Consider the following 27,211-nt stretch of genomic DNA (forward strand, 5'->3'; position numbering starts at 1 on the left):
GCTAAATGCAATTCAAGCAGAGACGACGTAAAGGAAGCTTAATTATTTTAAGAACATTATAAGCTACCTTGCAGGGCTGGAGATAAGGGAACGTTTCAACTTGCAATCTGGCGTCTGGTGTCAAAAGCTGGCCTGAAAACATCAGCCATTTCTGTGCTTTTCTCTGTTTCTCAGGCCCCGGCTTCACTGTGTGCCAACAGCCAACAGCACACAGCCCTTCGGGGCTGAAACTCTGCACTGTCTGTGAGTCATGGTGGATAGAATTCCAAGGGTCTATATTTGTCTTGGGTAAAATAAACTGTCTTTTCTAAATATATGCCTTACCACTTCCCATTAGCCAAATTCCCCAACACATATTTCTGCTGGGAAAGCTGAACGCAAACTATTTTGCTCATGTACAGTGCAGCCAGCTTCCCTGTGGCTCTCAGAGGAGACACAAAGCTAAGAATCGAAAACGAACATATCTGATGACAGAACAAAGGTTTAAAAGACCTTGCTATGCTGGAATTATAACAAAATCAACATCATGAAATTAGGAAAGATATGGAGAGGGTGCAGCATTTAGATTTTCGAATGGCACAGGTCTGGAATGAATCCTTAATGAATATCAAGTTGTCTGAAATAAGCAGAGATCTTCCATTGTGTAAAAACCTAATATGTCAGTTACTTGGTGATCATATCTTGCTCTACCTCAATTACAGTGCTGAGACAATATCACAATTTATTGAGAGAGTATTTTTATTTTGTTAGGTTGTAGGCTTCTTGAAGTAAAGACTGTCTTACCTTTGTATCCAAGAACAATTCCTAGCTAAGAATATTTCGATCCATTTATTCATTGAATATAGTAAAAACATCTTATTTTGATAAAGAAGTATATTATACACATAAGATGAGACATGTCTGCAATGCTTAGGTACACTTGCAGTATTGTGTCCACATTTGGTTACATATTGAAGTGTGTGCTTTGGAATATGGCCAGAGAGAGCTGAAGGCTTTAAACGAATATCACATAAGAAATTATTGCATGAAATGAAGTGTTTCTAATCTAATGGAAAAGAAGCTTTTGGCAGAAATGATAGCTGTCTTCAAATACATGAAAAGTTTTCACACGGAAAAACAAGTTGATGTGTTCTGCGTAGCTCTGGAAAAACGACCAGGGCCAACGGATTGAAGGCAGATTTCATCTCAGCCTGAATAATCCAAAATTAAATGAGCTGCCTCCAGAATAAGGAGATGCTTCCCTCTCCAGTGATGAGACTCCCATTTCTGGAAGTGTTCAGGTAGAATCTGGACTGGCATCTCTCCGGAAGTCCTGCCTTAGGTGGGATGCTAGAATTAAGGGGCCCTAATGCTCTCCCTAACTGTGATGAGCTAATTATAACATTACTCAGGTAAGCAATTCCTTCAGAAACAATTACATCTTACAGAGAAGAGTTATCACTTTTCAGGCCATTATTTTTAGATTTTTTTCCTTGCAAACTTCGTTTATTTTTGACCTAACCATACCATTCCACTGAGCAATATTCATGCTTGGGGTTTTGATGCTGATTTTAGACAATGTGGTTGTAAACTGCATGCATTTCTAGGTGGTACTAGAGGCTAGTATGTCACCCTGCTCAAAATTTCCCAAGACACTTGGTGTCACATTGCTATCCTCAGCATGCCAAGAGACGGGTTCTGTGAATTCATGCACTGTCTAAAGCTTCTTTGTCACAGATTATAACCTCTAATAAGAGAATAGTGTCTTTTTGGCACTTGTGAGTACCTTGTTGCTCAAGAGTAGATTACCCATTCATTTGTTCAACAAATGATTCACTTAATAACATTTATTGAGCTCAAGTGCATGTGTTCTAAGGATACAATGCCAAGATGTCCCTGCCTCCAGCAATTTCCAGCTTAGTAGGGAAAACAGACCTAAGTCCAGACCTTTAGGACACACTGTAACATCCGCTGTAACAGTGTTTACACAAGACCGAACACTAGCAAAAAGAACAGAGCTGCAGATTCTGGGTAGATTCAAAACAATGCCATGGAGGAAACCTTGAAATGAGTCTCAAAAGATAAGTCAGGTATTTTTTCGTGTACACAAGGTCATTTCAGCAAAGAGAGAAAGTGATATTGTCATGGAGAAGTATTAGCATAGAATTTGCATTGGCTGTTCAGGCAACACTAAGTAGCCTCATGGGTCAGTTGTGAAGCTTGGGTGGTAATCTGCGGAAATATTGTCGAGAAGGAAGCAGGGAATGAATCATACAGTGGATAGACTGAAAGTAACAATACGAGGCAGGAAAACTACTCTGCAGATTATTTCAACTGTCCACATGAGGTAATGACCTAATGCATCGGAAGTGGGTTTTAAAAGGAGCAGAGAGAGTAAAGGATATATGTTTAAAAGGTAAAATTGGGAGGCCAAGGTGGGTGGATCACGAGGTCAGGAAATCGAGACCATCCTGGCTAAGACCATCCTGGCTAACACGGTGAAACCTCGTCTCTACTAAAAATACAAAAAATTAGCCGGGCGTCGTGGTCGGCGCCTGTAGTCTCAGCTACTCGGGAGGCTGAGGCAGGAGAATGGCGTGAACCCGGGAGGCAGAGCTTGCAGAGAGCCGAGATCGCGCCACCGCACTCCAGCCTGGGCGACAGAGCGAGACTCCGTCTCAAAAAATACATAAAAAAAAATTTTTTTAATTAAAAAATTGAAAGGTAAAATTCACAGGACGCATTGAGAAACTACCAGGTGCTATACTAGCATTGAACAAGTAAAGGTGAATATGCACAACACTTCCTCAAGCAATGAAGATGTTCTTGGTGGAGACAACAAGGCTTCGGCACCAGAGAGTGCTCCGTTCAAATCTCTGCTTTTCCATTTGGAAAATCTTTGTTTCAGTTTCCTTAATCTGCTGCATTGAGACTCTTTCCTCACTTTCTCTGTCTGGAAAATCACATGCCCCTGTCATGGTTACGTCTTCAGTGGACCCTTTCCTCCAAAAGCCTCTTCCCTCAAAAGAAAAGTCCTGCCTATTAAGGCAAATTAATATGGAGGCTAGGCCTGAACAACCCTTGAGCAGACATAGCCAGTGAGGCCTCATCAGTGACCCTAACCCTGCTTGATCGGCAAACAGAAGTGAAAGTTAACTTGAGCTATTTCTTGTAAACGCCTATATTAAATAAAAACGGAATTCAAGCCCAATCAATATGAAGCAGCCAACTAACTTATAATTATAGAAGCAGGGACTTTCCAATAAAATAGACCACATAAGGAAAACTGTATAACTGCAAACAATCAATTTTTTTTCCTTTATTCTGTGCTCATCCTAACCCAGTTGTGGTTTGGAGCTTCCTGATTCATTAATTGCTGTTTGCTCAAATAAATTCTCCAAAATGTTCTTGTGTGCTGTTTACTTTTTTTTTTTTCTTTTCTTTTTTTTTTTTTTTTTTTTTTTTTTTGAGACGGAGTTTCACTCTTGTTGCCCAGGCTGGAGTGCAGTGGTGAAGTCACGGCTCATTGCAACCTCCACTTCCTGAGTTCAAGCGATTCTCCTGCCTCGGCCTCCCAAGTAGCTGGGATTACAGGCACCCGCCACCATGCTCAGCTAATTTTTTTGTATTTTTAGTAGAGACAGGATTTCACCATGTCAGCCAAACTGGTCTTGAACTCCTGATCTCAGTTGTTCCACCCTCCTCGGCCTCCAAAAGTGCCGAGATTACAGGCGTGGCGTGAGCCACCATGCCGGGCCTCCGTTTTACTTTTAATATGCCTAAAGGATGGCATAAAACTTAACTGAGGCAATGAAAAACATGCAAATAATAGAGATGTGGGCCAGAGTAAGTACTCAAAAAAATAAAGACTAATGAGGCATCTTTTATTTTCTTTTTTAAAGATAGCATTTTTAATAGAAGATGAACATGGGCATTTTTCTGAATACATAACAATGTATGTTTATTTCTTTTCACATGTTAGTCCCATCAAAATAATTATTACTTTATATGCTAGGATATGTACCAGAACATTAATTTTTGTAGGTTTCAAGTTATTTTTTGGACTACTTTATCAGTATTCTCTAGAAGAAGAAAAAAGGAAGAACAAAACTCAAAGAGAATTAAAAAAAGAAAGGATAAATAATACCAAAGTCAGTGTATATTTGATTTCTAACCTTATTGTATTTATATTTCAATGAATTCTAAAATGCTTCTCACATATTTCTCTTTCAATGCTGTTTTTTCTTCTTTTACTGCCATGAGTACCTTGATTCTTCAAATGACTTTATAAAAATGGCTATATTAATTAAGAATATGCATAAAGATGTCTTAGATATATCCCTCCATTCTGGAATTTACAGTTGTTTGGAAGAAATGTTGGCTACAACTAATCATACAGAAAAATTTTACTTCATTATATAAGCAAAGACAACGTGGTTTGTTATTAGTTTTAAGGATCTTAAATCAGTATTACTCCAAATCTTGTCCATCTTGAGCTACCTTGCTCATCTGCATTTGCTTTGGGATGCTTTAAAACCAGCATGTCCAGGTAACCTGACTTAGCATCCAGGAATGCAGAGGCAATAGGAAAGAGAACACATTGGCTAGGCACACTCTTATCTAGCTCCTGGCCTTTGGTCCTTCTGATTGTGAGTTGTGTTGGTAGAAAGGTCTAAACAAATGCCCAGAATACTTATTCATATTAATAGTAAAGAAATGAATCAGCACGATCAATTTTCATTCTGTTATTTCATCTCAGTAATATAGAGAAATACATTCTAATGCAGAAAAATAAGGTTTTCTAGTGCCATCTTCTCTTCCAATGACGGAGCTATTGAAGTTAATTCTCTAACAAAAGACAGAAGCAGCAGCAGCAGAAAAAATGAAATATCATTTTTTTTTTTTTGCTCGTTTCAAATTAAAGAACTCAGAATGTTTACTTATGCTGGATAAAATATACCCAAATGTTACCTTCACTAATCAGGAGCTTAATTCTGTGTTTAAAGATCACCCCAGCTGCAAATTCATCTGAGGAGCTGAAGCAGGGAGATTTTAAAAATCTAATTATTTTTATAATTATTTTCACCAAATGCTTTATACCTCTATTTGGTGGCTGGTTCCTGAGAACTCCATATGAAGTCAGGTCAGCTTTGTTCACATACACCCTTCTCCATGGACTAGCCACCTAATCCACCCTCTGATTAACGGAGAGGCAGAATGTTCGCAATGTGTAACCAGATATGCTGGTACATCAATGACTACTGTACACCCAAGCATTGGGAACTCAGTCTTAAAAAAATCTACTGCCCCCTTATTAGTTTTCTCCTTAGTGAAATAGTCTTCCCTACATTGGAATATGAGCAGAATATATCCCACTGAGAAATGAGTTTGAATATAATGGGAGACTGGCTCTGTCCAATGCCCAGACCCTATTCTTCAACCTGACAGGTGAAAATTCTTATCTTGGGTTGTGGAGGAAAAACGAAGCAGGGGGAAGGGCAAAAACTGGGTGGCGAAATGGGGGCAGCCAGGGCAGAGGAAGCATGAAGGCTGAGTCAGTCCCCACTTCCTAGTCTTCTCCAGACCCACGCTCTCCAGGTTGGGTTGTCACGATGATGGACTGGGACTGACAACCAGCATCTCCACTGCTGCCGTGGGAGTCACAGTGAGCACAAGACCCAGAGTGTGCAGAAGTTTTTAAATGCAAGTGGACAACCATAACCAGGGGGAGTCACCTGTTGCCCAGGTTGGACGGGAGAGTGGACCATGCTATCAGGTGACTCCATATTTTATTCAAATGAAGTTTTTGGATCTCCTTATTGCATAATGTATAAGGGAGAGCAGGGGGGCTACTAGTTGTTTTATATTAACAGTTGCTTTAGTCTTTGGGAAAATAGCAATAATATTCTATTGCTGGAGCATATAATCAACTGCTTCCATAGATTCACCTTAGGAATTTTTCACCCCTGATAGAATTACTTGACATTATGCCATTAAGTCATAATGAGCACTGTTATGCAATCCTTTAATCGTTTTAACACATTTATTACAGGGGTGTTCTGGATGATATTTACCATATTACTTAGAGTCTTGTTTGTGGGTACCTCTTAAATTTTAATTTGCAAAAGAAAAAAAAATCACCTAGGAATCCAATTAAAGTGTACATTCTGATTTAGTTGGTCTGGATGGGGCCCAAGATTCTGCATTGATAGCAAATTCTCAGTGACGCTGATATTGCTGTCCTGTGCTACACTTTGTACCTGGCTTTATAGATATCCCATCGTAGAAACTTACTCTCGGAAAAGCTCTGAATGTTGAACAAGTGGTTTGTTTTTATTATGCAGTACTGTGAATTGCATTGAGTTGGGCCATATGAAATCACCAATTTTTGATCATATTTGACATATATTGGGCAATTTCTCATGAATTGCATTGAGTTGGGCCATATGAAATCACCAATTTTTGATCATGTTTGACATATATTGGGCAATTTCTCATACTGTAGATATAGCATGACAATAGCATAGTATGCTAATTCAATGTTTCTCTTTGAGTTGATAGCTATGGAGCTTGTAACCAAAGGAGTGACCCACCTAAAGCGAAGTGTACGGAACCATTTACCTGGGGCATAGTTTAAGTTTTAAAATTTATAAAACCTTTCCCTCTTTTATAAGTGAGAAATCTTTAGTTGCAAGTAATAGAAATCTATATTCACTAGCTGAAGAAAAAAAAATGTAGACTTAAGTATTTAGGAATTGCAGGTTTAGACCGTCTCCTGTTGGCACAGGTGGATATAGGGACCTCAATGGTGACATCAGGCTTCAGGCTTCAGCTTATCTGCCCAATCTCTAGTTTTGTTTGCTTCTATGATGAATTCACTTTTAGCAGCTTCTTTCTCCACCTAGATTGTTCCTTGTAGCTCCTGGATTACAGGCCATCTTCTTAGCAACTCCAACAGATAACAAATTTCCCCTTCCAGGAATTGGATTTTATTAGACTTGCTTTGGCCAGAGAAATGGAAAGCTCAGGTTAGTAATCTTGGCTCCCATGCCCCCTGGACCTGGGTCAACTCTGTCAGATGTATATTGGCTCAGAGTTGGCAAGGGATTATTCTCCTAGAGAAAACTGGGTAGCTATTCCCAGAAAAAGGAAGAGTGTTCAGAGTTGTTCCCAGGATGCCTTTTCTTGCAGGACCGTTATCCATGCCCAGCCCACTGCTGTCAGCATTGACCTGTGAGTTGCTCTGACAGATGGTATGTGAGCAGAAGATGTGTGTCACTTCTAGAGGAAGTTTAAAAACCCGAATGTGCTTCTCTGTGCTCCCCTAGCCCATTGCAATGTCCCAGGTAAGGGCAGCTTCTTCAGCCTGGGTCCAACACATATGGATACATCTTGTGGGTAAGAAATAAGCCTCTGCTGCTGTAAGCCACTGCTTCCAGGACTTGCTTGTTATTAAAGTAATTCTTAGCCTAACCTGACTGATAAAATAGGCAGAAACAACAGTTGTTCATATTATTCCACTCATCTCATTCCAACATGAAAACCAATTCTTCTTTGCCAATATAAGGATTTCAAAAACACCCCAACTGCATTTAATTTATACATTAATTACAATCTAAAATCCACTCACTTCCTCCTCAAATAAGAAAATTATAAAAGTCTGTTCACTTACTGTCCAATTACTGCCTAAGATCTAAGTTCAGGATCTTTTGGTGATGGGAATTTATCTAGGTCAAGTCCAGATTAGCTTCTACTGGTGGAGATACCTATGGTTGAATGGGGTATTTAAATATATTTAAGTAACATATTTAATCACCTCCCAATACATATAAGATTCAGTAGTGGAAATCAAAAGGACTAATTATAAAACTAAACAAGGTAAAATTCTTTTTTGTTGAAAAGGAGGCAAGGAAAACAGCAGAATTGTATGGTTAAGTGTTCATGGCAAGTTAGCACTGCAGCCCTCTGGCAGAGTGAGCTCCTTGGTTAGCCAGCCCATCTTTCCTGACTCCTCTCTCTGTGAGGATCTTCTTTATTTATTGACCTCCCATGTCACATCTGAGATGACATTGGAGAGGCCTCCCTATCTGGGTTGCCCACATTAGCTGGTATCAGGCTCTATCCAGGCCCCCACTAGAACTAGAATTTTCAATTAAAGCTTCAGATGAGGAGACCAAAGTTACCCATCCCTTATTTTTAGGGTGCATCTTAGTCTTGGCTTTTTACAATAAAGACCTTTCCCAGGAGGTGTTCATGGTGAGCTGAAGTATCCGCCCCTCCTGAGGTCTCCTCTTGGCTTCCCCCATATTCCCTTCCTTACTGCTTTGCTGAACTCAGCCCAGTGACTGAGCCCAGCGCAGAGAACCCAGCTTTGCATCCTCCAATACTCCAGTCTCTCAGTGCTCACAAGTTTCCTGCCCCAGGCCAGAAAAGGAACCCTTAAAGACAAAATGAAACGAGGCCGAGTGCGGTGGCTCATGTCTGTAATCCCAGCACTTTGGGAGGCTGAGGCAGGCAGATCACCGGAGGTCAGGAGTTCAAGACCAGCCTGGCTAACATGGCAAAACCCCATCTCTACTAAAAATACAAAAATTAGCCAGGCATGGTGGCACACACCTGTAGTCCCAGCTACTCAGGAGGCTGAGGCAGGAGAATCTCTTGAAGCTGGGAGGTGGAGGTTGCAGTGAGCCAAGATCGCACCACTGCATTCCAGCCTGGGTGACAGAGTGAGACTCCAACTCAAATAATAATTTTTAAAAAGACAAAATGAAACCTATTTTTGCTTTTTTTTTTTTTTTTGGCTTTATGTTTTAACATGATCCAGTTTTAACTAAAGTGAAGCTTGTCTCTTTTTATCAAACCTTTGAGAATTAGTCAATATATTCCAAAATCCTGTGAATTTTCTACCATGTTACCAATCTCTAGCCTAGGAATGTGTATGATATGGTTTGGCTGTGTCCCCGACCAAATCTCATCTTGAGTTGTAACTCCCATAATTCCCATGTATCATGGGAGGAACCCGGTGGGAGGTGATTGAATCATGGGGGCTGGTCTTTCCTGTGCTGTTCTCATGATAGTGAATAAGTCTCACAAGATCTGATAGCTTTAAAAACGGGAGTTTTCCAGCACAAGCTCTCTCTTTGCCTGCTGCCTTCCATGTAAGATGTGACTTGCTCCTTCTTCCCTTCCACCATGATTGGGAGGCTTCCCCAGCCGCATGGAACTGTAAGTCCAATTAAACCTCTTTCTTTTGTAAATTGCCCAGTCTCAAGTATGCCTTAATCAGCAGGGTGAAAACAGACTAATACAGTAAACTGGTACCTGAAGAGTTGGGTGCTGCTGAAAAGATACCTGAAAATGTGGAAGCAACTTTGGAACTGGGTAACAGGCACAGGTTGGAACAGTTTGGAGGGCTCAGAAGAAGACAGAAAATGTGGGAAACTTTGGAACTTCCTGGAGACTTGTTGAATGGCTTTGACTAAAAGCCTGTTAGTGATATGAACAATAAGGTCCAGGCTGAGATGGTCTCAGATGGAAATTAGGAACTTGTTGGAAACTGGAGCAAAGGTAACTCTTGTTATGTTTTAGCAAAGAGACTGGCAGCATTTTGCCCCTGCCCTAGAGATGTGTGGAACTTTGAACTTGAGAGAGATAATTTGGGGTATCCGGTGGAAGAAATTTCTAAGCAGCAAAGCATTCAAGAGGTGACTTGGGTGCTGTTAAAAAGGCTTTTAGTTTTATAAGGGAAGCACAGCATAAAGTTTAGAAAATTTGCAGCCTGACAATGTGATAGAAAAGAAAAACCCATTTTCTGAGGAGAAATTTAAGCTGGCTGCAGAAATTTGCATAAGTAACAAGGAGCCGAATGTTAATCCCCAAAACAATGGGGAAAACGTTTCCAGGGCATGTAAGAGGTCTTCACAGCAGCCCCTCCCATCACAGGCCCGAGGACCAAGGAGAAAATGGTTTTGTGGTCCAGGCCCTGGGTCCCTGTGCTGTGTGCAGTCTAGGTACTTGGTGCCCTGTGTCCCGGCTGCTCCAGCCATGACTAAAAGGGGCCAAGGTACAGCTCAGGCTGTTGCTTCAGAGGGTGGAAGCTGCAAGCCTTGGCAGCTTCCACATGGTGTTGAGCCTGCGGGTTCACAGAAGTCAGGAATTGAGGTTTGGGAACCTTCACCTAGATTCCAGAAGATGTACAGAAATGCCTGGATGTCCAGGCAGAAGTTTGCTTCAGGGGTGGGGCTCTCATGGAAAACCTCTGCTAGGGCAGTGCAGAAGGGAAATGTGGGGCCAGAGCCCCCACACAGAGTCCCTACTGGGGCACTGCCTAGTGAAGCTGTGAGAAGAGGGCCAGCATCCTCCAGACCCCAGAATGGTAGATCCACTGACAGTTTGCACCATGCACCTGGAAAAGTCACAGACGCTCAACACCAGATGGTGAAAGCAGCCAGGAGGAGGGCTGTACCTGCAGAGCCACAGGGGCGGAGCTGCCCAAGATCATGGGAACCCACCTCTTATATCATTGTGACCTGGATATGAGACATGGAGTCAAAGGAGATCATTACAGAGCTTTAAGATTTGACTGCCCCACTGGATTTCTGACTTGCAGAGGCCTGAAGCTCCTTTGTTTGGGCCAATTTCTCCCCTTTGGAATGGCTGTATTTACCCAATACCAGTACCCCCATTGTATCTAGGAAGTAACTAACTTGCTTTTGATTTTACAGGCTCATAGGTGGAAGGGACTTGCCTTGTCTCAGATGAGACTTTGGATTGTGGACTTTTGAGTTAATGCTGAAATGAGTTAAGACTTTGAGGGACTATTGGGAAGGCATGATTGGTTTTGAAATGTGAGGACATGAGATTTGGGAGGGGTAAGGGGTGGAATACTATGGTTTGGCTGCGTCCCCTCCCAAATTTCATCTTGAATTGTAACTTCCACAATTCCCATGTGTGGTGGGAGGAACCCAGTGGGAGGTGATTGAATCATGGGGGCGGGTCTTTCCCATGCTGTTCTCCTGATGGTAAGTCTCATGAAATCTGATAGCTTTAAAAATGGGAGTCTTCCTTCACAAGCTCTTTCTTTGCCTGCTGCCATCCATGTAAGACAGGACTTGCTCCTCCTTGCCTTCTGCCATGATTGTGAGGCTTCTCCAGCCATGTGGAACTGTAAGTGCATTAAACCTCTTTCTTTTGTAAATTACCCAGTCTCGGGAATGTCTTTATTAGCAGCATGAAAACACACTAAAGGCCGGGCAAGGTGGCTCACACCTGTAATCCCAGCACTTTGGGAAGCCGAGGCAGGAGGATGACAAGGTCAAGAGATCGAGACCAGCCTGGCCAAAACAAAAATTAGCTGGGTGTGGTGGCGCATGTCTGTAGTCTCAGCTACCCAAGAGGCTGAGGCAGGAGAATCACTTGAACCGGGAGGCGGAGGTTGCAGTGAGCTGAGATCATGCCACTGCACTCCAGCCTAGGAGAGAGTGAGACTCCATCTCAAAAAAAAAAAAAAAAGAAAGAAATGCTTATTTATTTTGGAATCTTCTGTGATCCCTCATATAGTGCCTAGCACATGCCCTGTACTAGTTAAGCAAATGAGAAGAAAAATGCTTGTAAGCTGCATGAGGGCCCCAGTTACACCTATCTTGCTCAGAATTATGCCTGCAGGGCCTAACACAATGCTGGACACACAGCAGGTCCACAACACATATGTGAGAATGAATGTGTAAACAAATGGCTTTGTGCACAATTTCATACCATCTACAAAAACGTTTTCTACACGCAGCATCTCCTTAGTCTACACAGGAATTTGGGTGGCACAAAGGAGGTTATAGAAGACTCTTAGCAAGGTGAAAGATATTTCAAGTTGGCTGGGTACGGTGGCTCAGGCCTGTAATCCCAGCACTTTGGGAAGCCGAGGCGGGTGGATCACGAGGTCAGGAGATCAAGACCATCCTGGCTAACATGGTGAAACCCCGTCTCCACTGAGAAAAAAAAAAAAAAATTAGCCAGGCGTGGTGGCGGGCACCTGTAGTCCCAGCTACTCGGGAGGCTGAGGCAGGAGAATGGCAAGAACCTGGGAGGCGGGGCTAGCAGTGAGCCAAGATCCCACCACTGCACTCCAACCTGGGTGACAGGGCAATACTCTGTCTCAAAAAACGAAAAAAAAAAATTCAAGTTAACAAAGTGACAATCTGTATGCACATATTTAGGAAGAAAAGATAGACTGACAATCTACCTCAAAGGGAAAGCAAATATTGGAAGTTTCATTTGTTGCTATTCTCTTCTCTGTTTTTGGTGGATCTTTTACCTGGACCATGAAGTGGTTTTCTGCAAGGGGAGTATTGCAGTAAAGGCACGTACAGACAGAGATGAGAACATAACTGAGGCACAGAGGGAGAGCCGTGGTGACAGATACTTTCTGTCCTTGGCTTTACTTCTGGGGGAGACTTCTTTTTCACATACTCCTGGCAATTATTAGTCCAACAAATCCATCATAAAGTTTTAGGGGAGATGTAGGAACATTCAGTCCCGGTATATGCAATCATTATCCTTTGGGCCGAATCTCCTCTGAGTTAATTAAATTCAAATAAGTATCTTTCCATTCCCCGGGACTTGGGAGGAGGAGTCCAACGCACTTGAGAAGTCACAAAACAGCCATTAGATGTTAATAACTAAGAACTGTTCCAACCTCTGCTGGTTTTAAATGAGAAGACCAGAGGCATAAAGCTCCACAGGGCATTCCTAACTTCCTGAGGCACTCAGCTGTTGAAAATCAATTCCTCAAATAATAGTTTCCTCTTCCAAAATTTAGCTGGATCAGATATTTTTAGTTTAAAGGTCCTAATGAGACTTTGTAGGAACACGCACAGCAAGGGAGAATCCTGCACGATAAATCACTGGAGGTGTGCCACCTTACGGCTGGAAATTTGAATAAACAGCTTTGATGATTTATAGCAGATGTTTTTCCACTTAGTTGTAGCCCACCAAAGCACATACTAGGCAGCATACTCCAGGAGAATGGGAATTAGAACCATTTTTGTGTCATTCGCCACTGTCTAAATGGCACCTGGCAGTGTCTGGTAGATAGTAGGTGCCCAACAAAATTTTTCTAGTGGACAAATGACAGTTCTATTTAGACACAATGCAGTCTCCTCTGGTCAGTCCTAGGAAGAAGAGGGCATTAAATCACGTATTGGTTTTCAGGCACAAAGAATAGTGGACCTATTTTGAAGTGAAAATGCTATTGCCTTGGTAAATTCTTCTGTGGGGCTAGAAAGAATAAACTAGAAGTCTGGGGAGTTGCACGGTTCTTCTGAAGGCCTTCTAGACCTACTCTTTATAGATAGATTGCCTTCCAAACATAGCATGTTTCCACATGTATTTCTCAATTATTAGTTACATTACTTCTGCCTATTCTTGGACCCTAGCCCAGTGTCTTTAAGTTTGAACTTAATAAGTGTTCATTGAATAAATGCTGACTCATATCTAATAGGGCATATGTTCCAAATTTACTTCTAACCATAAAGATGTGTTTTTTCTGCATCAAGCTATCCTTGCTGTCAGTCCTTTTTGTGACCAAAGCCTTTATTGGAAAGAAGATTGAATGGACATAACAGTACGATCAACAGATGTGATGCTTGGCAGTTTCCCCATCTCTGCCTGTAACTCCAGCACTTTGGGAGGCTGAGGCAGGTGGATCACCTGAGGTCAGGAGTTCAAGACCAGCCTGACCAACAAGGCGAAACCCCGTCTCTACTAAAATTACAAAAAATTAGCCAGGTGTGGTGGCGAATACCTGTAGTCCCAGCTACTCGGGAGGCTGAGACGGGAATCGCATGAACCCTGGACGTGGAGGTTGCGGTGAGCCAAGATTGCACCACTGCACTCCAGCCTGGGAAACAGAGCAACACTCCATCTCAAAAAAAAAAAAAAAAAAAAAAAAAAAGACAGAAAGAAATAGCACCTAATTCTTATTAGAGTTATTTTGCAGTCTAAATGATTTCATATACGTAAAGTAAATAGAATGTTACCTGGCACTTGAACTCTCAATAAACGCAATTTCAGTATCCACAATATGTATTATTGTATATTATCACTGTAGTTCCAAGTGATCACCACAAATATCAAAACTAATTTATGTTATATAATCCCAACTGGAATCAGAAGAATGCTTTGGGTTATCTTGGGACTCTGCAAATACTTAAGTTTGAGAAACACAAAGAATAAAAAAATCTAAAGAGAACCAGAATTTATGTAAAATAAAAATTAAAGTGAATACGTATTCCAGTTGAAAGGAGAAAATAAGCACAGAGAGTTCTCAGGGTGGAATTTATGAAAAACATCTTCACCTTCATCAGCAAACACATCTTTTTTTTTTCTTTTTTTTTTTTCTTTTTTTGAGATGGAGTCTTGCTCTGTTGCCCAGGCTGGAGTGCAGTGGTGCGATCTCGGCTCACTGCAACCTCTGCCTGGGTTCAAGCGATTCTCCTGCCTCAGCCTGCTGAGTAGCTGAGACTACAGGCATGCACCACCACGCCCAGCTAATTTTTGTATTTTTAGTAGAGACGGGGTTTCACCATGTTGGCTAGGCTGGTCTGGATCTCTTGACCTCACGATCCACCCACCTTGGTCTCCCAAACTACTGGGCTCACAGGAGTGAGCCACCATGCCTGGCCAACAAATACATCTTAAGTACTAATTGTGTATTATGACTTGTTAAGTTTTATCAACACGGAGAAAATAAACTTGGCCATTGTCGTCAAAGGAATGGCCATTGAGAGTAAAACAGTCGGTCACTCACCACGTAGGTCCCACACTGCAACTTGTGGAATAGAAATACAGGAAAAGTGCAATGCAATGTGAAAGATCACAAATGTTCCTTTAGAAGGGTTGGAGACAGCTTCAAGAGAAAAGGTAACATTTGGGTTGGGCCTTGAGCCCATACAGATATTTATGTGGTGTAGAAGAGGCTGTGGTGGAAGTGGGGAAGAAGAGGGCTTCTAGCAAAGGAGCAGAGAGGAGGAGAGGCCTGGGTCTTAGGAACCACCACATGCTGGCATGGCCAGATTTTCAGTTTAGTGAAGAGAGGGCAAGGGCTGCAACTGGAAACATGCAATGCATTTCCTGTGCCCTGGTAGGCAATTTGATCACTATCTTACTGGCAATAGAAAGCCAACAAGGCCTCAAAGCAGGCTTGGAAAGGATGACTCTTTTTCAGGAAAAATAGCCTGTCAGTAGTGTGGAAAATAAATTAGAAAAGGGGAGCAATTAGGTGGTGAGACAGTTGTGACAATAATCCAAACAGTGGCAAAGCCAATTGTTGAATCTCTGATTCAGGCCTCAAGACAGCATTGGAACAGACAGAAATGGAGACTAATTGCATGTGGAAGAAAAATGGAGCAGGACACTATAGATTCCAGAGCAAAGCCTGGATAGAGATTGACATGGTTTGGATCTATGATTCCACCCAAATCTTATGTTCAATTGTAATCCCCAGTGTTGGAGGTAGGCCTGGTGAAAGGTGATTGGATCATGGGGGCAGTTCCTCATGGTTTAACACCGTTGGCCTTGGAGCTGCCATCGTGATTATGAGTTCTTGTGAGATCTGGAGTGTGTGGCCCCTGCCCCCTCCCTCTCTTCCTCCTGCTCCTGCCATGTGACACCTGCCTGCTTCCCCTTCGCCTTCCTTCCACCATGGTCCCCTGAGGCCTCCCGAGAAGTGGGACCCGCCGAGCACCGTGCTTCCTGTACAGCCTGTGGAGCCGTGAGCCAATGAAACCTCTTTAAAAAAAAAAAAAAAAATTACCAGTTCTCATTCCCAGAAATTACACAGATATGCCTGTTTCTTTTGTTTTGTTTTGTTTTTGTTTTGTTTTGTTTTTGAGACAGAGTCTCGCTCTGTCACCTAGGCTGGAGTGCAGTGGTGCCATCTTGGCTCACTGCAACCTCCGCCTCCAGGGTTCAAGCAATTCTTCTGCCTAAGCCTCCCAAGTAGCTGGGATTACAGGTGCGTGCCACCACGTCTGGCTAATTTTTGTATTTTTAGTACAGATGAGCTTTCACCATGTTGGCCAGGCTTGTCTCGAACTCCTGACCTCGTGATCTGCCTGCCCCGGCCTCCCCAAGTGCTGGGATTACAGGCGTGCACTGCACCTGGCCCTGTTTCTTTATACCAGTGTGAGAGTGAACTAACACAAATTAAGGGGATTGGCAGAGACAATAAAAGATTCAACAAGAAAATGTTTTGAGCCACTGGAGGGATATGATGGGGAGGGAATGGTAAGGTTTACCTGGAAAAGGTCGAGGCCGAATTGTTTGATTGGTTGTGAAGGCTCCTTGTTTGTCCTCCAGCTACAGTCCTTTCCACACATCTCATTCATACTTCAAATTGTTCCATTTCTCTTCAAGCCCCCCAATCCTCAATTAATGGGCTTTCTCAAAGACCAGGAATATACTTCAGTCACTAAACCCAGTGTTCTCTTTTCAGGCCTTAACCTACTTGTCCTTTTGTAGAAATGGAAGATAAGTGTGTACCTCTATAATTAAGGCAGTCATGTAATGTATTGTCCAGACAGATACATTTCTGAATGTAGAAGGACATTGTTAATAATTATGTTGGGGCAGTCCTGGACTAAGCAGAACGTTTGGTCTCCTGAGAAGCAGGATCGTGCCAGGTGTGGAGGCTGCTCCAGAACAGGCAAGCACATAGTGAGAAACAGTGGTGCCACTCAAAGAGCATCTTGAGTAGTAGCGGAATAAAGAGCCTAATAATTCAGGGACAATAAACTTTTTCCATTCCCTGCCTACCCCACACTGCCAACACCTCTGGTCCCCAAGGCTGAATAGCAGATCAGGCAGAGGGTGAGGGAGTGTGGTTTTCAGGCGTCCAGACTAAAGCTGCTTAGTGGATGGAAGTTAAAGTACCAAAGACAAATAACCTAACTCTCCGTTCTGCCCAGAAGAGCCCTAGAACTGAAGATCGGGAATATTGGTTCAAGTACCCATACGGCTCCTGCATGTCCTACACTGCTGAAATGGAATATACACCTTGGAGCTCTATAGGAGCAGGGAAGAGTTTCGGGACTCAAAGTATTTCACCCTTTTTTAGAGCTATGAGATAAATGAGGAGAAAACAAACAATGATAACAACAAGATTGTAATGTTAAGTAGCTCTTGATTTCTGAGCCCAAGTGACAGGTTTAGCTCAGTGCAAGACTGAGCTCATGAATATTTTTGTTTACTGTTTTCATGAAGCCTGCTTGTGGCAAAGATAAACACCTGCCTTGCAAATTTATTTCTTAAATCAAAATATATCTTTCATATTTTAAAAGGAGGTGTGTTTAAAGAGGACAAGGATTAAAAACATTCATTGCTGGATTTGTGCTATAATATGCTTGCCCTAAAAATTTTATTTTTCCTTAATTTGACCATCAAGATGTTTGCTATGCCTTTCCAATTTGCAGTTTTCACATACCAAACTTCTGCAGAGAATCTGGATGTTGTAAAGCATTTCTGAAGTTACAGACCATCTGAAAGTTTCTTAATGGGTCTAAGAGCCACTTCATTATCTTTTAAAAATATATACATAAACTTTAGTCTTTGAAAAAGTGCATTTTTCTAAAATGCTGATAACGCTGCCATATGTTGTTTTCATGCCTTTGATTTGTAATAGAAAATATGTTCCTAAGAAACAATAGTAGATTCACATGTAGTTGTTTTCCTTCCAAGCCCCAAATTATATTTTCTACTTTACCAATTTATAAGCTGTTAAAGCCAAAAGCATTCTTCAAAATAGTCTGCTTTGTCACATCACATACACCTACCTATAATTTATAATTCTCTATGGCTATCATTTAACCTTCAAAAAGTGTCATTGATATTTTCTGGGCTACAAAGAAGTTGGCTACTCTTTCTGTTCAATGAAGGAAATAAGAAAAATAGGCAAATTAGGTGAGGTCCTGAAATAGACTGAGAGAAAAGAAATGCACTGAATATAAAGTTTATGACTGGTTCTGTTTGATTGAATTTTACAATGTCCAGAGAGGAGAAAAATGCAAAGCCCTATTAAAAAGCATGTTTAAATATGTTATGAATCTCCTGGGCTGGTTGTCTCATAATCTGGATTATTGAAGTATAGCACAGGAAAGGCCTAAGACCTTAATTAGAGTAAGTGATATGGCAGCTCGGGCATCAGCAACACAATCTGCCGATTGTGAGAAAAACAAAATTAGACAAAGGGCTGTGGTTTAGAGACATGCTTGAACAGTTAGGATTTTTTCCCTAGTTTTTTCTAAAGTGAAAAGAAGCAGATAGCCAGTGCAATAAGCCAAGGGGAGAGGGGGTATAGGCCTATTTGGTGGGCCCATATGTAAGCACAACCCAAGGCTCATATGCGCTAGACAAATCACAGCCATGGAGCCAGGAGGAAAATAGGAGTCTCCATAAATCCAATTCTGCCAGTCCAAGTCCAAAATTTATTTGGACAATCAAAGAGAGAAATAATGCTGTGAAAAGTAATCTTCTCTTCATGTCTTCTATATCTCCATGGATTTCAATGATTTTGAATTGGTTCCCCGTAGAAATAATTGTGAAGATTGGCTGTCAGCCAAGAAATATTTTTTTGTGCATTTACTATGCATAAGTAAATGAGTTCCCTGTGTCTCCTTTTATCATTGTGGGGTCTCCAACCCTGAGATCTCAATCCTCTTCAAAATCTCCCACACTTGTAAGTACAAATGTTTCAACTGAGCTCATGAGTAATTTATCTTAGTTCTTCTAATGGCCAAGGCAATTTCTGTGCAAGAAAACACAAAGCATGTCATGAGTTCAGTTGGCGTCTGAGAGTGGTGATGTGTCTGACACTCAAGCCAAGCACGGAGTCCCCCAACACTATTAAACTACCAACTCAGGCCATGGTTCCCCTGATGACCGGTTTGTAAGCAAAGCGACAGTGCCCCAAATGCACTGGATTAAACTGTGCTGTGTCCCTTGGGGTCCTAATTACATTGAAGCCTCTTGGCATTCCATGTGACAGACAAGGTCTTAGACTCTTTCCGCCACAAAGGTACTTTTGTGTGTAAATAAATCTCAATTTTGTCTGCTTTGTTTTATTGTTATTTGTTTTTGTCTGTAGAATCTCTCTGTAAGTTTTATGTACATGAAGTGAGGGGATGTATCTGAGGGCTACATGCTCAAAACTATCCTTTGTTTTGGAGAATGATGGTGTGATTTTGAACCCGATCTTTGTTTGCCTTAACCTCACTTCCCTTAGGATGGATTAGGTCACAGAAGATATCCGGATTTGCATGGAGACGTCTGTGCAGGACAGCCCTTGGGCCCAGCGTGACTTCCAACCGTGATTCCTCAAGTGATTCCTGCAACTGTGATTCCTCACAAGTTCCAGCAGTGCTGCATGCATGTGCAGGGGAAAACAAGGAGGCATGAGGCAAGGATCACACCCTCAGAAAATGTTCAGTTTACCAGAGAAGGTAGACACACAGCAAATAATGATGGCACAAACTGAAAGCGATGTCTGCCACACAAGTAGCCACGAGAAGAAAGGACACAAATACAAGCAAACACTGTCAGGCCCCCTAATGTGAACACGACCATCAGTTTCAGGTGGGCACAAGGAATGAAGGCTTAGTCCGGTCTAAGATGTGGGTGTCTAAGCGGGTGGTTTTGAGGGACAGAACTTCTGTCCTGTTTCACCCTCTTCACTTCCTTTCTCCTCCTTACTGAGGGTCATAGCCTTTGATTGTGCTCCATTTCACTAAAAGGTGCAGGTACTTTTCCTTCAAAATAAGCTCAAACCCTTCCTGAACGCTTTCTCTTTCAACTCTTAAGCACGTGTGCTGTGGAGTGACTTGTTATTTCCTGCCCTACAGATCTGTAAGAGAGCTAGGGCCTTTGCCCAATGTGTGAGAAGAGGTGCAACTTGCTTCCTCTCCTGCATTCACCTTAGCAGGGTTGTCTTCCGCGCGGCTGAGGTGGCCAAGCTGCTCACATCCCTGCACCCAGGTCTTGGCCACTACCAAATGGAGAAGCCCAGTCGACAAATGCTGTGGCCGGGCATTGTCACCCCAGCTGCGAGACCTTCTCTCTATCCATGGGGAGGGAATAGAAGGCTTCATTTATGCCACCATATGAGCAATAAGAACTTTGGACTGGTTTTATAAGTGAATTTGTAATCTCACATCCCAAGAAAAAAGTCTTCTGCAGTTTCCAAACCCTTTTAGGTTCACTTGCTTGTTAATTTTATTGTGAGAAGAATAAATAAAATCAGAAATACATAAATAAAAATATTTTGATGAGATTGTCATTCAAAATGGATTTGTTGGTGCAAAAAGAGTATTTTTAAAAAGAAAAAAAATCCACACAAGAATTATCACTAATCTCAAAAGACATAAACGTCTTAGTAGCCTGCAGAGATAGCTTTTACTTTATTTTAATATCAAAGCAGATGAACTCAAAGCAGATGAATTAACTTCCTTAAAATATCAAAAGCTGATTGTCTGTTCTCATAATTCAATAAATTTGGCAAAGAAAAAGTGTTTCAGGTAACACATGCTTTATGAAAGTGTCTCAGTTTTGTAAATTACCCCTTAGCCTCCAGTATTAGAGAAGAGCTTCAGATTTTTATAAATATTAATCCTGTCCTGGTTTATTACGTGCTGATTCAGATATAAATTACTTTTAAAATTTAAAAAATGTCATGCTTATTGGCCTAAGAAAATAATGACTTTCCTATCAGAGACTACAACCAGACTTTAAGAACTCAATATCATAAAAATGTCCATTCTCCCCAAATTTATTTACAGATTCAGTGCAATTCCAATAAAAAGCCCAAAAGTTTTTCTATGTAATTAGACAAGTTGACTTTTAATTTATATGGAAAAGTAAAGGGCCAAGCACAGTGGGGATTCATCATTGGGTGTATCAAACCTTATTGTAAACCAGAAGTAATTCAGACAGTGCAAGTGTTGTCTAGAAATAGACAAATAGGCCAAGGAAACAAAATAGAAACTCCAGAAATAAACTCACATATACGGAAATGTATTAAGTGCAAAAGCAGGGATCGAAGCTCTGTGGTGAAAGGAAGGGCTGTTTATGAATGGTACTTGCACATTAACTTATGGATACCAAATAATGGAAATTGGATTCCTACTTCACAGCCTATACAAGTATGGTCATGCACTCCCACATAATATTTTGATCAACAGTGGACTGCATATACAATGGTGGTCCCATAAGGTAATCAGGGAGCTAAAATATTTCTATGGCCTAGTGATGTAGCAGCCGTCATAACATAGTCACATAATGCATTACCTTTTCCATGTTTAGCTGTGTTTGATACACATAGAATCATGTTACAGTTGCTGACAGTACTGAGTACAGTAACCTGCTGTACAGGTTTGTAGCCTAGGAGCAATAGGCTATTCCGTATAGTGTAGGTATGTGGTAGGTTGTGCCATCTAGATTTGTGGAAGTACACTCTGTGATATTTGCACAATGATGAAGTTGCCTGATGAAGCACTTCTCAGAACGTATCCCCATTGTGTTTCTCAGAATGCATCCTCGTCATCAAGTGATGCATAACTGCATAGCTTTAAGGTAGATTTAGGACTTAAATATTTAAGGCAAAACTACAATCTTTCAAAAGACAGTATCAGAAATATCTTAATTACCTCAGGGTAGGACTTTGCTTTAAAAAGATGTAAAAGAACTAACCATAAAAAAGATGGATAATTCGACTACATTAAAATACAGAGCTTCTGATCATCAAAAGAAACTATTAGAAAGTGATTGGACAAGTCTGAAGTAGGAAGAATGTCTGAACAACACAGAAGCAGCAAAGGCTTGGTTTGAAGAGCATAAAAACGCTTATAAATGAATTTTAAAATGATAAGCGATGTGATAATTGGCAAAAGCTATAAATAGAAATTTCTCAAAATAAGCAGCATAATTGATGCATGAGATATGAAAAATACCCAATCTTACTAGTAATCAAAGAAATGCAAATTAAAACTACAATAAGACAGCATTTCCTATCCACCTCAGATAACGTTCTTAAATAGCAGAGCACATATATATGATTTCACTTTTTGTGGTTTAGCTTTTCATTCTGAGAATGAGAATAAACCTTTTCACCCATGTTTTCCATAGTCCGGTCTGTTATTCTACATTCTTTTACATTCTAATACCTTATGTTTTCCATTACATCCTTTCTTCTCACCCTTATATCAGTTTCTAATGGATTTAGCAGGAAACCAACATTCCTGTTCAACTTGTACAAACTTGTGAAAACATAATTGAAATGAAAATGGAAATTTCAGGCCACCAGATGTCTTTATGCATCTGCATAAATAACAGTGCCATGAAATTGACCCCAGCCTACCTTTTAAGTAGGAAAACACTCTCCTTTAATCCAATGTGGATGATTATGGATGATTCATTTGCTACTAATTTGCTGAAAACTCAATTCAGAAAATACTAACAATACGTATATTAAGCCTTAACAAATGACATTCAACAGAAATCTGTTTCCTTTGATACTTTTCCTTTAAGGAAGTCTCCAGACAGTGTTTCCTAATCAGTATAATGAGCTTTCTGGAATTTATGAAAGCGAAGGCTCCTTTCAGATCTAAAGTTTCAGCTCTGTATTTTCACTATTAAGAATTGTTTACACCTATAAAACCAGATTGAAGAGCTTTGCTAAGTCTCCGTCCCTCTTCTCCATCCCCTCTGCATCCGTGTCTCCCAAAGCTCTTTATTACCCTCCCCATTTCTTTGCTCTGTTTCTGGCTGCCGCTTTTCCTCAATCTTGCTCTCATTCTCCTTCACACTTTACTGCTCTCTCACTAACTCCACAAGTTTAAAAAACTAACCCAACTTAGAAATGTCTACTAACTTCCTAAAACATCCTCCACAACATTAAAAAGCACTGCTAATATTTTTACAATACAATACACAAATATTTAATAAAATCAGGACAACACACATTCCCACTTTGTACCATCGTGTTACCAAATGAGATTCACTTGTAATGAACAAATCATCAATCTTCGCTGTTATCAGAAACTAGCTTCCCCAAGCCTTCCAGTAATTTTTTAGAGTTCTGGAAGCAATAGCTCCAAACCTAGTCTGTCAGCAGGAGACTCGGCCTGGCTTACGCTCCACTTGGACTTCTGCTCGGGCTCCCGGGAAGCCATCTGGGGCAGCCTGGCGTCCATCTGCCCTTCTGAAGTAGGTCGCAGACCCTGCCAAGATACTGACCCTGGATGCCAGTGAAACCTCATCCCTGTCATGACAAAGAATCTCTGGAGTCCAGGTAAAGGTAGGGAGAATGCCTCCTCTCCAACATCTCCCACACTGCATCGTCTGGACAATGGCACAGTTCTACTTCTGTGGGCACCTCTGTTCTTCATGAAAAACACCACTGCCATATTTTGGCCAGATCTGGGCAATACAAGGCTCACTCTCAGCCCAAAGGGCATGCATGAAACAGATTTCTTCCCACGAGGGAGAGACCCTCCTATTATCCTCCTAAATTCCATCCCCACTTAGAACCATCCTCCCATGTATCCTCCTATAATCAATCTCCCATGTTATTTATCTCCTAAAGTCTATTCCCAGCTTAGAACTGAGAATTCTTCCTTTCTCCCAGTTCCCACACTTGCCTAGTTAAAAACTGTCCAGTTTAAAACAACGACTTCCATGCATGCCAAAGACAGAAGCAGATCTTAGAAGAAGATGGCTTCCCAACCCCACCTTTCTCAGGGCTCTTGCTAAATAATTTATTAGATTGACCAGCCAGACCTGGAATTTGAACCTGACGCATGATCTTGGTGGAGATACTAACTGCTCATTTATCATCCCTAAAAGGGAGAAAAACCTGCATTTGCCATACTTCAAGATCTAGTCCACACTTAGCTTCCCTTTGGACTGCTGCCTTTCACTCTTTCATTTATCTAGAATGCTGTGTATTTTCCTGACTACATATAACTACACCGTAAAACATCTGAAGACTGCATAAAAACATAAGAAAAAATAAATAAATCATTTCAAAATTTCATCACACTGAGGCAACCACTGTCAAGATCTTGGTATCTGTTTCTGTTATGAAAATATGCAAACATAAATTAATTTTACATAAAAGGAATCATTTCTGTTTACATCTTTTAAATTTTTACTGTTGCCCTTTTCTTGCTTTCCCCACTCCACAAGTGTCCTTATTAATTTCTTTATTCCTCATATCATTCCTTGAAAGTTGTTTATTACAGGTATATTTTCCTTTTTCTCTTTCTGGCTGCAGAATTGTGTTAAGAATGAGATAAAAATTACCCATGTACCCATGACCTTATTAAAAATCATCCATCACCGAAACAGCTGATATTCCTCCTAGTTCTTCCCCAACTGCCTCCTTCTGCACCCACATTAGCCAGCATCTTCCTTTGGTGTTTGTCATTCTCACGGATACCTTTACATGTGTGTCACATACGTCTTTGGCACTAAACAGTATGTAGCACTGCGTTATATGTTCCTAACCGCAGTACAAATGGCCACAGCTATATATATTTTCCTGGAATCTCTCTTTTCTCACTTAATGCGGATTAATATGAGTAAGTCTAGTTTCTTGACTTTGCTATTTTGCCACATTCTCTTGTGGGAATGTACATCAAGGTATTAGTCAATTCCTCTGTTAATGGACATTGCTGTTGTTTTCATCCTTTTGCTCTCCTGTGGTCTGTGGCTGTGAGCCTTTTTTTCAGATTGAGGCAGCATAGCAAGCAGTTTTGAAGGGGGACTCCAGTGCAGACTGCATGCATCTGATGTGTGGTGGCGCCATGTAGGAGCTCAGCAGCCTTGGCAAGTTAGTTAATCCACTGTGCGTCACTTCCCCATTTTAAAATTGAGATAAAAATAGTATGTACTTCATAGGACTATTGAGAAGAGTATTAACTTGAAGCATATGCAATTATAATTTTCATAGTCCAAAAATGGTCACATATTAGCATTTTTATATGGTGAAACCTAATAAATGAGATAATTGATATAGCATATTTAGAATGGAGGTATACAGTCAGTACTTAGTATTAGCTGTAATGATAGCAGTGGTGATGACAATGATGGTGTCTCTTTGTATATGTTAAGTCTCAGGCTTTCTCTGGCCTAAACAGCCAGGAATAGAATTGCTGGGTCACAGGATCTATCCAAATTCAACCTTTACCTCCAGAATGTTCTCCAGAGTTTTCTATCCAAGATATGTTTTATTTTTCTACATATTTGTGTCTTAATATTTTTCAATAACGTTTTATAATATTGTTCATAAGAATTATTCGTTTTCTTCTCTCTTTCCCCTCTCCTCCTCTCTCTTCTTCTGTTCTTTTTTATCTCTTTCTTCCTCCTCCTCTACCTCTCCTTCTTTTTCTTTTTTCTCCCAAATTCGAAGATGAACACTCTTCTGCTATCAGAGTAGAAAGGTCTGTGACTTCCTCATGTTTCTAGAAGATCTCCATGGATCATGCAAAAGGTCAGATGCCATCTTTACTTTCACAGCTCTGGAAATCCATTTGCTAAGCTCTCAATTATCACCCAGAGCTCTAGGACGGTATTTCTAAGACTTTTGTGTGGCTCACAGAGTATCATGCTGTTAACTGTCCCAGAAGCCTAGAGGATCCCTTGGCTTTACAGCGCACAGCTCCTGACCCTGCAGCTCCACTGGAAATTGGACTGAGCCATCATCTTCCCTGAGCCTCCCCGCTTCGCTCTTCATTGTCCTCCCTCCCTATTCGGCAGATCCAGAGATTCACTCTGCTGCGTAAATTCTTTTAGTCCCAAGATAAAGCACTGCCTATGAAGAGATGTCTAACTTTTAAAACTGGCCAATTACATCAAAATTTATTTGGTTCTATAAGCAAAGATATGGCCCAGCAATTTATTAACAGGAAGGGAATGCTAAGTGAATATCAGCAATCATTAATAAAGATGTTGTGAATGGTTTCAGAACGCACAGTAAACAATTTAATTCCAAATGATATATTAAGAGAGAACTAAGAAGAGGATTTCTTTCAGATAGCACAGAATAGAATATTTTTCCAAATTAATAGTTACAATATTCAGGAGAAACAAACCGTTCAAAATAACTGAACCCTGCCTGTAGTCTCTTTCCTGTATTGCTAATCCTCTTTCCTATTTCGTTTTTCTGTCATTTCTTTCTCTCTCTACTTGGCTTTTTCCATCAGCATGTAAATCTAATTTAGTTTTTGCCATCCTTAATAAAAACAAAATGATGCCTGCGACTGTTGTCTAATGTCTACTTTTCAAAACCAAAATTTTCAAAAGCACTATTTATGCTGTTTGTCTCTTCCTCTTCCCCTTTCCTCCCAGCCCATTTCAATAAGGCTGACTACCGCCAACCACTCCGCCCCAGAGGCATCTGCCCCCGGCCGCGCACCCTCTCTCCCTCACCACGCCTTGGTGTCCTCACGTTCCCGCACCTCTCAGAAGCGCTTCCTCCACGCTCCACAACGGCCTTCCCCGCCCAGAAGCGCTTCCTCCACGCTCCACGGCGGCCTTACCTGCTCAGAAGTTCATGCTCCCAGCGGCCTTCCCCACCCAGAAGCGCTTCCTCCAGGCTGCGCAACGGCCTTCCCCGCCCGGAAGCGCTTCCTCCAGTCTCCACAGCGGCCTTCCCGCCCGGGAGCGCTTCCTCCACGCTCCACAGCGGCCTTCCTTGTGAGAGGTGACAGCGTGCTGGCAGTCCTCACAGCCCTCGCTCGCTCTCGGCGCCCCCTCTGCCTGGGCTCCCACTTTGGGGGCACTTGAGGAGCCCTTCAGCCCACCGCTGCACTGTGGGAGCCCCTTTCTGGGCTGGCCAAGGAGGAGCCCGCTCCCTCAGCTTGCAGGGAGGTGTGGAGGGAGAGGCGGGAGCGGAAACTGGGGCTGCGCGCGGCGCTTGCGGGCCAGCTGGAGTTCCGGGTGGGCGTGGGCTTGGCGGGCACTGCACTCGGAGCAGCCGGCCGGCCCTGTCGGCCCCGGGCAATGAGGGGCTTAGCACCCGGGCCAGCGGCTGCGGAGGGTGTACTGGGTCCCCCAGCAGTGCCAGCCCGCCAGCGCTGCGCTTGATTTCTCGCCGGGCCTTAGCTGCCTTCCCGCCGGGCAGGGCTCGGGACCTGCAGCCCGCCATGCCTGAGCCTCCCACCCGCTTCACGGGCTCCTGTGCCGCCCGAGC

General features: G+C 41.9%; 1 long non-coding RNA gene across 1 annotated transcript in view; it reads right to left on the minus strand.

The window, feature by feature from the left end:
* Positions 1–26,880, minus strand: part of LOC339975 (uncharacterized) — a 201,531-nt gene extending 174,651 nt beyond the window's left edge. Inside the window, exon 1 of the long non-coding RNA NR_038931.1 lies at positions 26,559–26,880. This is a non-coding gene — a long non-coding RNA (uncharacterized LOC339975). The remainder of the gene's footprint in view (positions 1–26,558) is intronic.
* Positions 26,881–27,211: the final 331 nt, after the last annotated feature.

The sequence above is a fragment of the Homo sapiens genome, chromosome 4 (assembly GCF_000001405.40).
Source record: "Homo sapiens chromosome 4, GRCh38.p14 Primary Assembly".
NCBI classification, from domain to species: Eukaryota; Metazoa; Chordata; class Mammalia; order Primates; family Hominidae; genus Homo; species Homo sapiens.